The following is a 14,645-nucleotide window of genomic DNA, read 5'->3' as shown; positions in this document are numbered from 1 at the left end:
AATGAACTACCTACAACTACACACAAAAACAATGGTGACTTTCTCAAACACTGAGTGAAAGAAGCCAGACACAAAAGTATATATGCTATGATTCCATTTATATGGCCAAAACCACATTAAAACAGATGATATATTCAAAAGCAGATTAATTTATAATATCAGGTGTAGTACAGTAATTACCCTTGGGGAGGTAATGACTAGAAGTGGGCATGAGAGGGGTTTCGAGGGATGCAATTGATGTTCCCTGTGCTTGTTACACAGGGGTGTTCAATTTCTGACAATTCACCAAGCTGTACTTACAATAAGTGCAATTACCCATCGGTAGATGATATGTACACGAATGGTTAAAACTTTAAGATATGTGTAGGTGACAATCCAGGCAAGAATGGATTTCTCTCCAATCTCATCAGGGTCTAGTTGCTCTTGTTAAATGGAAAGGGGGGCTGGGGTTGCAGAAAGATTTCTCCATCTTTCCAGTTATCCCAACTCTGATGCTGTTCATGGTGGGTTACTAAAAATGTATCAGTGCCTTCAGATAAGATTGCACAAGCATGCACAGAAGTGAAAAATCACTTTCTCCTCTGTTTCCTCCTGCCTTCTTCCTCCCACATCTCCATCCCCCAATCAGCCTCCTGCTAAGTATTAGTTAACCTCCTAAATTAATACGTCTTGATCTTAAACCTAATAGGAAGGAATGTTTACTTTTGTATCTGGGTTCAAAGTACAGACTACAGTAGTTAGCTTTTAAGTTTATGTTATTGGCTTAATTTTCTTGCTCAAAATGAGATAAGGGAGGGATACATTAAGATTAATAAAGAAAAAAATGATTGATAAACTGGCTTATGTGACTAAAGTTCCTTTAGCGACAAAAATATTTGGTACCTTCCCTTAATTATTGAAATCAAGCAATGCGCCTGGATCTACATGACACAAAATGGTTTGAATTACAGTCAAATAATTGCCATTCTGGGTGAACATAAGCTTTTTCAAGGGGAGTGGTGAATGGGGATAAAATAATAACTAATAAACTCTGAAGCAAAGCTCACATCTAAGACTTAAGCTTCAAAGCTCTTAAAAAGGAGACTTTTTTTTTTCCTTAAGAGAGAGAGAGACTGAGATGCATGCAGAAGGAGGAGTGGTTTTCCCAAGCTGATTTTTCTTACGGGGTGACCAAGCCTGGGTCGGAATGTTACCATGTGATCAGCCCAGACCGTAGCAGCAACACAGTCTCAGCACAGAAGTTAGGACTTTCTGCAGCATCATTAAAATAATTGGGAGAGAAAAAAAATGTTAAGCTCCACAAGCTTGAATCACAAGCCTCTTGGAAAGGTTAATAAGCTTTCTGCTCTGTACTCTCCTCCCCTCTCTTCAATGCCCTGCCACCCCCACCCTTCCCACTTAGAATGACAGACTGGTTATCAGTCGGGAAAAGATTCAGAATAAAGCCTTTGTTTCCAAGAGCTGAACAGGCCCCCATTCCACCACTGATGTCTGGGAGGTTCTTGTTTATGACGATGACCATGGAGTTCCAAAAGGGAGCTCTGCTTTTATTCCCATGGCTGGGAGCAACTAGCTAGCAGATTCTTGGGGTCCAAAAGGAAGTCAGCCCTACAGTATAAAGGTGTGTCTGTCAGAGGAAAGGGAAGGAACTAGGAAAGTGGGTGGTGGCAACACACAGGCTGAGGTTGGACTCTGTTAATGAGAGGCAAGCAGCTTAGATCCAGGCAAGGGAAGACAGAACCGTCTTTAACCAGAGAAGCAGAAACAGTTGTAGCACAGCTCATAGAGAAAGTGTTGGAGCATGGAGTAAATTCAACTGCCTGGGTAGCGCGCCAGCTGGAGGAAGGCAGCAATTGGATAACTGGATTTGTGTCAGGAAAATGAGAGAGAGGAGGAAGGGAGTGAGAGAGACAGACAGAGGGAGGGAGAGAAAGAGAGATTGAGCTTTCTTCTTCCTCCCTTCTATTTGGCCTTGGAATACCCTGCAGACAAAGATGGACTTCCTTTAGCCGTGTCCTCTGGCCCAGGCTACCATCACCCCCCAAAGCCCTGAGCTTGAAACTGGGGTCAAGGTATGGTTATTAATGAGAGAACAGCTCCCTGCTCCTCCTCCTCATCAGTGAGCTTAAGTAAGTATAGCTGGTGCCAGTGCTGGCTATAGATGGAGGCCAAGAGAGAAATCAGCCTTCCCTAGAGAGTCAATGGCTTTTAAAATTTGGTTAAAACTGGTTGAGTTGGGTGAGCAGAGCTTCTCATGGAAAGAGAGAGCAGCTTAGACCTTAAGACAGATATTTCAGAAACCATATCCAGAGGAACAACCGATTTACAAAGGAAATCCTCACATCCTTGTGTTAAGTGAAAGCTCTCCCTGATGAGTGACAGTGGAAATGTGGACAACCGTGTGGATTTGGAGCTCATCCCTTATGAAGGCCACACTCCTTGGCAGTTACAGTTGACTTCCTATTGAATTCAACCTTCTCAGCTGAGTGTGGCATCAGGGAGGCCCTCCCAGCGGGGCATGTTCAGACCTCTGCAGCTGAAGTCTTTGCTCTGCTGATTAGCCTTTTATGTTTTGCTTCATTCCACACCCTAATCCCAATGACTACTATGCCATCAGCCCTTTTTAAGGGCAATTGCTCTGTTCCAACCCTGTGAAATGGACAGTCTTTATTGACTGATATTAAAAAAAAAAGTTGAGTTCAAATGTTTGTGTCTCATTCATAGGAAGCCTTCCACATGATCAATCAGTTACCCAACCTCTTTCCCTGTTGTGGCTCTGCCCTCCTCTGGGGTCTTGGAGTTCTCACCATGTAAGTACTGAATGGGAAAGTAGAGAGTAGAAAAGGCATCAGCTTCTTGATGCCTTTGTTTGGAAGTGGTACATATAATCTCTGCTTCCATTCTATTGGGGAAACTTAGTCACATGATCCAACCTAGTTTCAAGAGGCTCCGGGAAATGTAGGAAAGGACACCCCAGCCTAACAGCAGCTTTCCTCTAAGAGCATAATGCTTTGGTAGACAACCAGCCATGTCTGTCAAGGAAATCTTATTACGTATGACTCCCCCTCGGCCCTTACCACCACAGCTGATTGAACCTGAAGTACGCACATGCCTTGGTCACAGACTGGACAGTGGCATCCTGTTGCAAAATTATATGCCCCAACTGGCACAACGTTAGCTGGGTTGATTAGATAATATCTTTAAGAAACCTGAACTGCCCAAGTGGAGAAACATACAAGCAAAGAGTAACTGATTCCTGTTCGTGGAAGAGCACAGGGATAGATATCCACAAAGTCTTGCTGATGAATGCTTTTCCAGTTCTAGCATTTGCAAGGTCTGCCTGTTGTTGAAGCCACATGGTCAGAAAGGAATGATGCCAATATTCAAAGTCAGATTACCCTGGCTCCAAAGCCTGATTTTTAATACTAACTACTATTATTATTATTATTTACCTCATGATACCACTTCCCTATTCAATGTTTTAAATAGAGCCTCTTAATATTTTTGGTAAGTTGGTTTATTTTCTCAATTCCTTGGCACTTCCTATTTTCACAAAAGGTGTGAACCTTTTGCCATGTAACTTTGCAGTTTGTTTTCCTAGAAGCAAACTCAATTTTTCTACCCATTGATGGTGGGGTTGGCCATGTGACTAACTTTAATTAGTGAAATGTGGGTAGAAATGACTGTGGGACAGTCCCAGAAAAGGCTGTTTCACTCACCCCTTCCACTCTTGTGATCACAATACGAAGAGTATAACACAGGTAGCAAGAACCTCATCAGTTTGAGCCCTGAAATGTGATCATGGAACAGATTTGAACCCAACCTCAAGCCTAGAGCCAACCCTAGTCAACTCCCCATCTGAAGCAGAATAATCCCAGCTGCCCTTCAGACCCATGAGTGAGAAACATAAAGGCTTGTTGTTGTAAGCCCCTAAGATTTGGGGTGATTTGTTATGCAGCTTTATTGTGGCAAGGGCTGATGAATATAATGCTGTAAAGAAAATGTTTTTCTCTTTGGCACAATTGTATACATCTGTACTTTTCCAGGACCTACTATAAATATTTATATATGCCATATTATTATTTTTGATCCTATGTAAACAAATAATCCCTGCTTTAGCCTGAAAGGTAACCTACACCCTCTATTTTAGCAACCAAATTTATTAGCATTTAAGTAAAGAAAAGATTTAAGACTTGTCCAAGGAGTTTTCATACAGGTGATGCATTTATGAGATTTTGCATAATAAGAGAGGGGATATCATTTCTTTTTTTGACTCACTAACTAGACTTGGTTTCTCAGTCCTGGCTCAGGCCAAAAATCTCTTTGTTCTATTCTCCACCTGTTTTCTAGGTAAACAAGAAAAACAAATCAACCATTAAAAATAATGACAGCATCATTTCTTCATTTAAATTTCTCTCTTTCTTCTAGCATCAGTTCCACAGCTTCTGTCTAGGAGGCACAAAGAATATGGCACCAGAAAGATGCAGAAGGCAGCAGGGGGTGAATAGCATGTTGCATGTGTATACATGAAAGGGATTTTCAATTTCCAGTGCAAATTTTAAGTGTGTTTTTATTGCTTACGTCTTAAACTAGGACCAATCTCCAAGTCATTTACTTATGTGTCAGGATAAAAATATGATTACATAGATGAGGAATCGTCGGGTTAACAGTACCTCGAGATGTGTTTTGATCCAGCCACATACTCAAAAGGAAACGCTCAGGTCTCTATTCAGTTTGGTCAGTTCCCACATAATTTCCTTGACATATTAGTTGTTTGAATGAACATTTGCCAAGACCAGAAATAGAATATACATGTCTGTGCTGACACCCCATTGCCCATCCCCTTCCCCACTCACCATAAAGGCACCGCAATGGCAGACATTACTAATCAACTCCTGGCCCTTTTTCCTGCTAAGGCTGGAAGTGGCCTCAGGTTCCGTCTTAGAACAACATTGCCAGCAGTCACTACTAATTGATGGGGTTGGCACCTGAGATGAAATCTAGTTACCTTCCTTGTTTTAGATATTTTGTGCATTTCTGATATCATTATCGATTCTATGCATTTCTACCTTCTGTCAATTTTCAGTTTGCAAACCACTTTTAAAATAAAAATCAATGCAATCATAAAATGACAATACTCATAAATTACAGTATTCTGAACACATTTTTTTTTCTGCCCCAAGACTGTCTACCAACAGCAATCAATATGATAAAGGTTAAGGGAGAATCAAAATGTTCTGTAAAGAAAACAAAAAAATGATTAGGACACAAATCTGCTTAGTCTGTTAGCAAATTTCTGTAAGGAACAGGTATGTTAAGAAGTGCAGCCTCACAGAAAACAGTGGGAAGGCCTTAACCGTGGCAGAAATGATCTCCCTGATTTAGGACACATTGGGAGAATCTGGTCCAAGAACAAGTGACTGCTTTTTGGGCAGAAAAACAAATTTTGTGTTGTAACTGTGTGAAATTATTCATAGTAGACACAGTATAGTTTCAGACAAACTGGAGAAAATGTGTTAAAGAGAAAAGACGAATTAGCATAAGTGATTCACTGGTGTTTTCAGGCTGAGTGAAACACACAAATCTGAATTTATCAGTTCTGAGCTCCCTCTGCTTTCCTCTCCCTTTCCCCCCTGCCAGGCACCCCCTCCAATGTTCCCTTTTCTCCTATTCTGAATGCATCAGTGTCCCGGAAATTCTGGCAGCCCTCCTAGGCCAGCTGTTGCCTCTGACCTGGACATTCCCAGCCTTCTACAAGGTCATGGGACACGTTGTATTCTGGGATTCCTCTAATGGAAGATGGGAAGGGCTTGAGACTATGTGTCCCCACTGTCCCCATGACCCTATGAATCCCTGGCTAGTGGGTCCAGTTTACAAACACAGGCCTGAGTGTCAGCCTTGTGGCCAAGGCTCAATGGATTTGAATTGAATGTAATCCCTAACTTATAAATTCAGTACTCCACTTAGCTCCATAACCAACAATATAGCTCATGGAATAAATATTAGTGCTCCCATTTTCTAGAGGGGAAAATATAGACAGGAATCTTCAGTTGGAGTGTTTGAATTTCAATATAATGAATTCAATGCCTTATTCTTGTATTCCAGAAACAGCAATTGTCGCCACAAATGAAGAATGTTCACGTTTGTTTTACAACTTCTTAATGCACCGCATTCAGTCTTCCTGTAAACTTGACTGCTTAGTCCTTAAAGTATATTGGTGGAGCAATGTCTGCATGCCTTCGTCAACACATCTATTGGCCTGTTTGTCCCAGCATCCCAGTTGGAATGGGAACCCTTCTAAGAAAAGCCTTTATCCTTTACTCACCTACAAACTCACTGGGCACCCCCGGAATTGTGGTCCTGGGCGTATAGCAGGTGTCTAGTCACTCTTTTCTGGTTGTGCCAGTAATTGGGGCCTGATTACAATTCTGTTTCATCCAGTGCACCTCAATGGAGAGAAACCAGCAAGAAACTCATGCTTTCTGCCCCATCTCCTTCCTTTCTTCTGTGTGTAAAGTGGAGAAAAGGCTGGAGAGTGTGGTAAGATAGGAAGAAACCAAGCAAAGCACACATAAACAAACAAATGAATAAATAAAAGGGAAAAATAGGGGAGATTTTGAGTTGTCAAGAAAAGAAGAACTCTGAACTTTTGGCACAGACTCAAACCTGGAAACCCAGTGAGGTTTGCCCATCACTAATGATCACATAATAATATGTTCCCAGGGGAGGGGCTGAGAGAGGCTATTAAAATACCGCAGCTCTGGTGCTCTATGGGAGACAAGTTTTCTGAAACGTGGTCCCTGTCAGATTTCCCTTGAGAGTCAAAGGGAAAAATGACTGCAGTTTGGCTTCTAAAAGGTAAAATGTTGGGAAAACTCACTGGGGAGGTTTCTTTCCCCAGCACAGGGTTTGGAAATGCCTGCGTTTGCGTTGTATATTTTAAATGTGGTGATGGGCCAGCTTGTTAAGTGTGCTGGCTTGCTTACTGGGTGACTGGCAGGCAGCCGTAAGTGAGCGGAAACAAAACCATTTGTGGGGTATGAGGTGGCCAAGGTAGCCAGAACCAGCCTTTTGTGATGTCTTCAATAAAAACAGTTATTTCAACGGGTGTTGGCAACTCGGCCTTTCCTTCTAGAAAGATAGGATTCTTGGGTGGAGTACACATGGGTCTACGGGCATCTTGACTGATCACTGTGGCCTATGAAAAGCCCTAATTTCACCATATCTTATGGGTTACACATGGTAGGGCTCAGTAAAGGGTTTTGTGTTTTGTTTTTTGTGTTTTTTGAGACAGAGTGTCAGTCTTGTTGCCCAGGCTAGAGTGCAATGGCACGACCTCGGCTCACTGCAACTTCTGCCTCCCGGGTTCAAGTGATTCTCCTGCCTCAGCCTCCCGAGTAGCTAGGATTACAGGCATGCACCACCACGCCCAGCTAATTTTGTATTTTTAGTAGAGACGGGGTTTTTCCATGTTGGTCAGGCTGGTCTCGAACTCCCGACCTCAGGTGATCTGTCCGCCTCAGCCTCCCAAAGGGTTTCTTTTAAAATAAACTTTATTGAGGTATAATTTAATACAATTAAATTATCCATTTTAAGTATATAGTTCAAGGAGTTGTAATAAATGGATAGACCCATGTAACCACTACTGAAATCAAGACAGGACATTTCCATCACATTAAAATGTTCCCTCGCGCCTTTTTGCAGTCAACTCTGCCTCCTGACTCACGGAAACCACTGATCTGTTGTCACTCTACATTGGTTCTGCCTGTTTTAGAATGTCATACAAGTAGAATATTACATGTATTCTTTTGTATTTGGCCTACTTGGCTTGTCATGATGGTTTTGAGTTTTATGTATGCTGTGGGTACCCAGAGATCATTTATTTTTTATTGTTGCATAGTGTGCTAGTGTATGAATATGCCACAGTGTATTTGTCTACATGCTGTTGGATATTTGGGGTTTTTAATGGAAAGCAGTTAATAGTCCTCCAAGGAGTAAAGAAAATAGAGAAGACAGAAGGAGATTTTAAGCTAAGAAAGATATGGAAATATGGGCAAAAGGATTACACTGGCACTTCAACAAAGACAATATCCAAATATCTAACATCTGTGAATTAAAACCAAAACAAGTTACCAAATACCCTCACCAGAATGGCTGACATAAAAACCTCTGGCAATACCTAGTGTTGGAAGGACGTAGGGCAAAGAAAATTCTTATGCTGTGTGTAGGGTAATGTAAATTGAGCCCGCTATTTTTCAAAACTGACAGTACGCACTAAACATAACATATGCAAACCTGTGACCTGGCAATTTCACTCCCAGGTTTATATGCAATAGGAACACATACATATGAGCATCAGTGAACCTGTACTAAAAGATTTATAGCAGTGCTATTTATATCTCCAAACTGAAAATTACTTGAGTAATCATTGATAGTAGAATGAATCAACAAATTGTGGTAAACTTATAGATCACTAGACAGCAGTGAGAGTCAACATTATACAAATACACGTAACACTATGGATATTTCATAAACATTATGGTGAGCAAAAGAAGCCAGATACAAAAGAGTATACTATATGATACATTTGTATATGTGTCTAAAATTCATATATAGTGTCAGAAGTCAGAAATAGGGGTTATTCTTGGTCAGGGTAGTGACAAGAAAGGAATACAATAGGAACTTCCATGGAGCTGGTAATGTTCTGTTTATTTATCTAGTTACTCAAGTGTGTTCAGTTTGTGAAAATTCATCTACATCTGCATTTAATAATTTGTGCACTTTTTGTCTGGGTGTGGTGGCTCATGTCCATAATCCCAGCACTTTGGGAGGCCGAGGCGGGCAGATCACCTGAGGTCAGGGGTTCGAAACTAGCCTGGCCAATGTGGTGAAACCCCATCTCTACTAAAAATACAAAATTAGCCGGGCGTGATGGTGCACACCTGTAATCCCAGCTATTCGGGAGGCTGAGGCAGGAGAATCGCTTGAACCCAGGAGGCGGAGGTTGTGGTGAGCTGAGATTGTGCCATTGTACTCCAGCCTGGGCAACAAGAGCAAAACTCCATCTCAAAAAAATAATAATAATAAAAATAATCTGTGCACTTTTTATAAGCATGTTATTATTCAGTGAAGAGTATCAATTGTTTTAAAAAATTTCTTTTGTATTTTCAATCCTCTACCTTCATTTACACACACATACACACGTAAATGCACACACACATCACAAGAACTGAGGAATTGCTGGCTAGGCATGCTACTAACTTTGGTTCATAAAATGGGGTCATGAGGCCGGAGCAGCTGCCTCACAGTCCAGGTCACCAAGAAGTCACAAACAGTTGTGATAATAGGTTCAGTTGTGCTAAGTAAGGCATCAAGATCTACTTGGAAATATAAATACTTGTGGTAACTACATAAGGATACATCATAATATTGGTGTGAATCTTTGGAAATGTCCACAAGAGTTCTGGTCCTCGTTTTGGCAACATAAAAAAGGAGGCATAGCAAATTGCCCTCATCAGATCATGACCTACACGAGTCCTTCTCAATGGTTGGTCTTTGGTCCTGGTTTTTCAAAAAGTTAATTAAGTGGTTAGGAAAAACTAATGGAGAGTTTGGCATCACAGGTGCAAGTCAAATGAATCAATAGGAAGGGTAATATAAAGCTCTCATCATCCTCAAAGTATCTTCCCTAATACTTTTTGAAATAGTACTGTTGTAGATATACTTGTTTTGGCTAAGGCTTTTCATCTCTAAAGAAATGAATGATTTTTTGAAAAAGAATTATCAGCAATAGCCAGCAACTCCTTAGTCTAATGATGCCAGATTTCGCCCAGTCTCTAGGCAATAGGGTGGCTGCTAGTACAACCATGGTTGTTCCTAAAGGGCACTCAACCCTTTCTACCTCTGCTGCTCTACGTTGACATAAAACAAACAAACATGCAAGCTTTTCTTGTTCTTTTTTTCTTGATATTTACAAGAAATTTTGGAATTTTTCAAAAGGAATTGCAAAATTAACAATAATCCAATTTTTTTAATGATGAGCATACAAAATAACCACCTCTGTTTCTTAAATGCCCATAAGATGCCTGGGTTTCTCTCTATGTTTTGCATTTACTCCAGGAAACAGCTATAGTTCAGTGAAAAGAATCTTCATGTCGCCATCATAAGACATATTTGAAGCCTAGGTCTTTTGCTTAGTGTTGTATGAGCTTAGATAAGACCCTCATTCCTCATCAGCCACAGTTCCCTCATTTGTCAATGACGAATGATGTGAGAATTAAACAAGATAAGCTGTGTGTATGTCTTCTGAATTATAAAATGTACAATGGCTCTGGACCAGCAGTGTCATCATCACCTAGGACTTGTTAGAAATGCAATTTTTCAACCAGGCACAGTGGCTCACGCCTGTAATCCCAGCACTTTGGGAGGCCGACAAGGGAAGATCATTTGAGACTAGAAGTTCGAGACTAGCCTAGGCAACATAGTGAGACCCTCTTCTTTACAAAAAAAATAACAAATAAAATTGGCTGTGCATAACGGTTCATGCCTGTATTCCCAGCTACTCGTGAGGCTGAGGTGGGAGGATTGCTTGTGCCCAGCAGTTTGAGGCTACAGTAAGCTATGATCATGCCACTGCATTCCAGCCTGGGTGACAGAGGGAGACCCAGACTTAAAAAAAAAAAAATTATCAGGCTAAACCTGGATCTACTGAATTGGCAACTCATGGGGTGCAGTCCAGCAACCTATTTTAGCAAGCCTCACTGGTGTTTCTGATGCTCACTGAACTTTGAGGGCCACTATGCTGCATAGACACATGCCTGCACTTAATTAGGAAACTGCTCTTGTCACCCAAAGCCTTGACTCAGACTCTACCTAGGACACTTCACCCCCTCAGAAAGTATGGGGAGGAAGCTTCTCCTTTCTCTCTTGTCTCTTTCCTAATTCCTCCTCTGCAGGATGAAGAATGACATATTAATAGTTGATGGTGAGATGGGGCAGAGTCAGTTCTCCACGTGGACTGGGCTCTTTGTTTTTGGCCCTGTCTCTGGCAGGTCCCTGCTCCCAGGTGTTTATTCTCACTCCTGGTGCAGGTCAGGTGGGGCTGGCCTCTTAGAGATAGGCCTAAAACTTTGGGGGCTCCTTCCTGGGGTGTGAGCCAGGGAGTGACCCCCATGGTCTGCCCAGTGTCTGCTCCACAAACCCAGGTCTTCCTGCGGGCGAGTTCTAGATGAGGATGTGAAGGAGTGGGCAGCTCCCCTTTGCCCTTAAACGCAAGCCCTGTCTTTCTCAAAGGCAAAATACAGGAAATCCGTCATTTGGAGGTCAAAACACTGATACTGGACTTGAATTCTCGTTGGGTCTGTTCTCAACTGATTTAAACCAAGATGGAAAAAGTAGCATGATCAATTGGCACCTCAAACCCCAATCTTCATCTACTACGGTAGGCCAGCCCTGGGGACTAACTTTGATATTGACTCTAGACACCATCTTCCCTGAGAATCCACACCAGGACCCTGCCCTACTCTATTGGCCCCATCTAGATATTCTCACTTTGTTCCCATTTCTAGCCTGCTGGACAAAACTACTTTTTACTTCTCTTGCATTGTGGAAAGGATGAACCGACTTCAAGCCCACCAAATATTTCTCAAGTCTACCCAAGCCCATTCCTAGCTCCAATTCTCAAATCTGTCCACATTTTTAAAAATCCCATTTCTATTCCTGCTCCCTTCTCTATGAGAATTTTCTGTCATCATATGTTACAAAGATGTGTCTAATAAACCACCCAAAAGCTTAATGGGTGAAAATAACAATAATATATTTTGCTTACAAATTTGTAAGTGGAGAAGGGTGCAGTGGGGCTGGCCGTATCTTCTCTGTGTGGTGTTACCTGAGTGGCTTGACTGGGAGCTGGATGATGTGCTTGCTATCAAGACAGTTCATTCAAATGGTTGGCCAGTGGGTGCTGGCTATCACCTGGGAGCTCAGCTAGGGATATGGTCAGAGGCCACATGGACCTCTCCATGAGCTGCTGCAATGCAGAGGCATGATCAGTGACTTTGATCACATAGCCTCAAACTCCTGAATTCAAGTGATCTTCCTGTTTCAGCCTCTCAAGTAGTTGAAATTACAGGTGCGTGCCACCATGCCTGTCTATTTATTTTTATTAAAGAGCCGCTTAGATTTTATTACAGCATGGTGGCTATGTCCCAAGAATGAGCAACACAAGAGAACAGGCTAAAATGTATGTCATTTTAAAGACCTATCCTTGGAAATCACATGCCACCACTTCTACCATGCTCTATTGGCCAAGGCATTTACAAAATCTTGCATATACCAGAGGAGGGTACATAGATTCTACCTTTGATGGAGGAATGGAAAGTTTCTGAAAAGATTGTACGATGGGAGATATTGTTGATGTCACCTTTAGAAAATACAATCTGCTACTGAATTCTCTCATGGCATCAAACTAATTTTATTAAAATGCAAATATTCCTAGAAAGGCAATACAATGAACTGTTACCAGTCAATGCCCTATTGAGGATTTTTAAAAATATAACCATCTCAGAGGAAAAATGACATATATTGGTTAAAGATGACAATAGCTTCTAGTTTGCACACTTACTGTATGTCAAACACTATGCTACACACTTTACGTGTGTTACTGTCTACACTTGTGACAAACCTGTGAGATAGCGATTATTGTTCACATTTGACAATTGAGAAACCCAAGCTTAGATAGGTTTGGGGAACTTCTTTGAGGCCACACAGGTCAAAGTGGTTGAACTGGGATTCCAACCCAACAAGACTGGTTTTACCTCCTCAGTCTGATTTCAAGCTTTCTCCCAACTTACCAACCAAAACTTAAAAAACAAAACAAAACGAACCAACAAACAAACAAACAAAAAAAAAAAAAAAAAAAAAAAAAGTCTTTTACTTTGAAATAATTTTAGATTTACAGAAAAGTTGCAAAAATAGTACAAGAATTCCTGGATGCCCTTTACCCCACTTCCTCTGATATTAACTCCTTATATGACCATAATACAGTGATCAAAACAGGGCCATTAACATTGGTATTGTTAAAAGAAAAACTAGAAAAATTAAGTTTAACAGAACTTAATTGAGCAGAGAACAACTCTCGAATTGGGCAGCCCTCAGAACCAGAAAACATTCAGAGAGCTCTCCTCACAACATGGGGAGGCAGACTTTATGAACAGAAAACAGAAGTGAGGTACAGAGACAGCTTTGATTGACTCCCGTTCTGTGCTTGCCTTATTTGAACATGGACTAATAATCACTGGAAGCCTGTGATTGGCTGAGACAAAGCTATTTATTACAAAATAATAACTAAGTTAGGCTTTCAGTTAGTTTATGTACCAAGTTAGGTTGCAATTTGCTAAGGCCTCAAAGTATGAAGGCATCCTCAGGTCAACTTTAGTTGAATTTCACAGTACAATGTTAACTAAACTACATATGTTTTTGTGAATTGTACTAATTTTTCCAGGAACATCCTCTTTATGTTACAGGATCTAGTCTAGGATCCCACATCCCATTTAGTTGTTATGTCACCTTTTTTCCCAATCCGTGACAGTTTTTTTAATCTTTCCTTTTCTTTCATGATATTTTCACTTGTGACGAGTACTGCTCAGTTATTTCGAAGAATGTCTGTTTGGATTTATCTGATATTTTTTACTCATGATTAGACTGAAGTTATGAATTTTTGACAGAAACACCAAAAAAGTGATGCTAGATTCTCCTCAAGGCAGCGCATCAGAGGATATATTATGACAATAACTCTTATTGCTAGTGTTAGCTTTGATCTTTGATCACTTACCAGGTAGCATTTCTAAAGAAAGAGGTAGGAGAAAAAGAAACATGTGGACTTGATGTGGCAGTAGGCAATTCTATGCAGAAATGTTGTTATAAATAGTATGATGACTAATTTTTCTTTTTTAAAATTTTTTATAATTTAGCTGGGATTACAGGCACGCACCGTCACGTCTGGCTAGTTATTGTATTTTAGTAGAGATGGGGTTTCACCATGTTGGCCAGGCTGGTCATGAACTCCTGAACTCAAGTGATCTGCCCACCTCAGCCTCCCAAAGTGTTGGGATTACAGGCGTGAGCCACTGTACCCTGATGATGAATAATTATAACAAGTCTTCATGTGCCAAGAACAATTCTTAGCACTTTATTAAAATTAACTAATGGGCTATTCAGGATGCAATGATTTCTCAGGACCTTGGTCTCCATGATCTTTTAGGGAATTTGTTTGATAACAGAGCCAACTTGGGGGTGTCAACACCATCGTGGGGCTCAAGGAAATGAGGGTGGAAAGTGGGCATTTCTAGAGGGAATCTGGGGGTTGTAAAGAGAAGATCAGCGTTTTAGGTCACTAGCTGAACTCCAGCTACTGACATTTCTGTCCTAAGTGCATGGAGCTTCCCTTCCATTGATCCATTGAGAGGCAGCCTGGCTGGAAGGGTTTGTGGCCCAGAGACCTGGCTCTGTGGGTTAGCACCCTCTTTTACTATCATAAATGGAACTTCTTCAGCTTCAGCTTCTGTGTTTGCAAAAGGATGATGATGCCTATTTATAAGCAGGAAGGCTATGAGAATAGTGCTGTAAGGATAGTGCAGATAAGTTTC

The 14,645-nt window shown here is 41.2% G+C and overlaps 1 long non-coding RNA gene across 1 annotated transcript; it reads left to right on the top strand.

Annotated features, from left to right (window-relative positions):
* The first annotated feature begins 1,712 nt into the window (after nucleotides 1–1,712).
* On the top strand, nucleotides 1,713–7,108 carry LINC01713 (long intergenic non-protein coding RNA 1713). Its single transcript, NR_146909.1, has 3 exons — nucleotides 1,713–2,072; nucleotides 2,725–2,810; nucleotides 6,106–7,108. It is a non-coding gene; the product is annotated as a long intergenic non-protein coding RNA 1713 (long non-coding RNA).
* The last annotated feature ends 7,537 nt before the right edge of the window (nucleotides 7,109–14,645 follow it).

This window comes from Homo sapiens, chromosome 20 (genome assembly GCF_000001405.40).
Source record: "Homo sapiens chromosome 20, GRCh38.p14 Primary Assembly".
In the NCBI taxonomy this organism is placed as follows: Eukaryota; Metazoa; Chordata; class Mammalia; order Primates; family Hominidae; genus Homo; species Homo sapiens.
The sequence above is the reverse complement of the archived record's forward strand: the minus strand, read 5'-3'. Positions and strand labels throughout refer to the sequence as shown.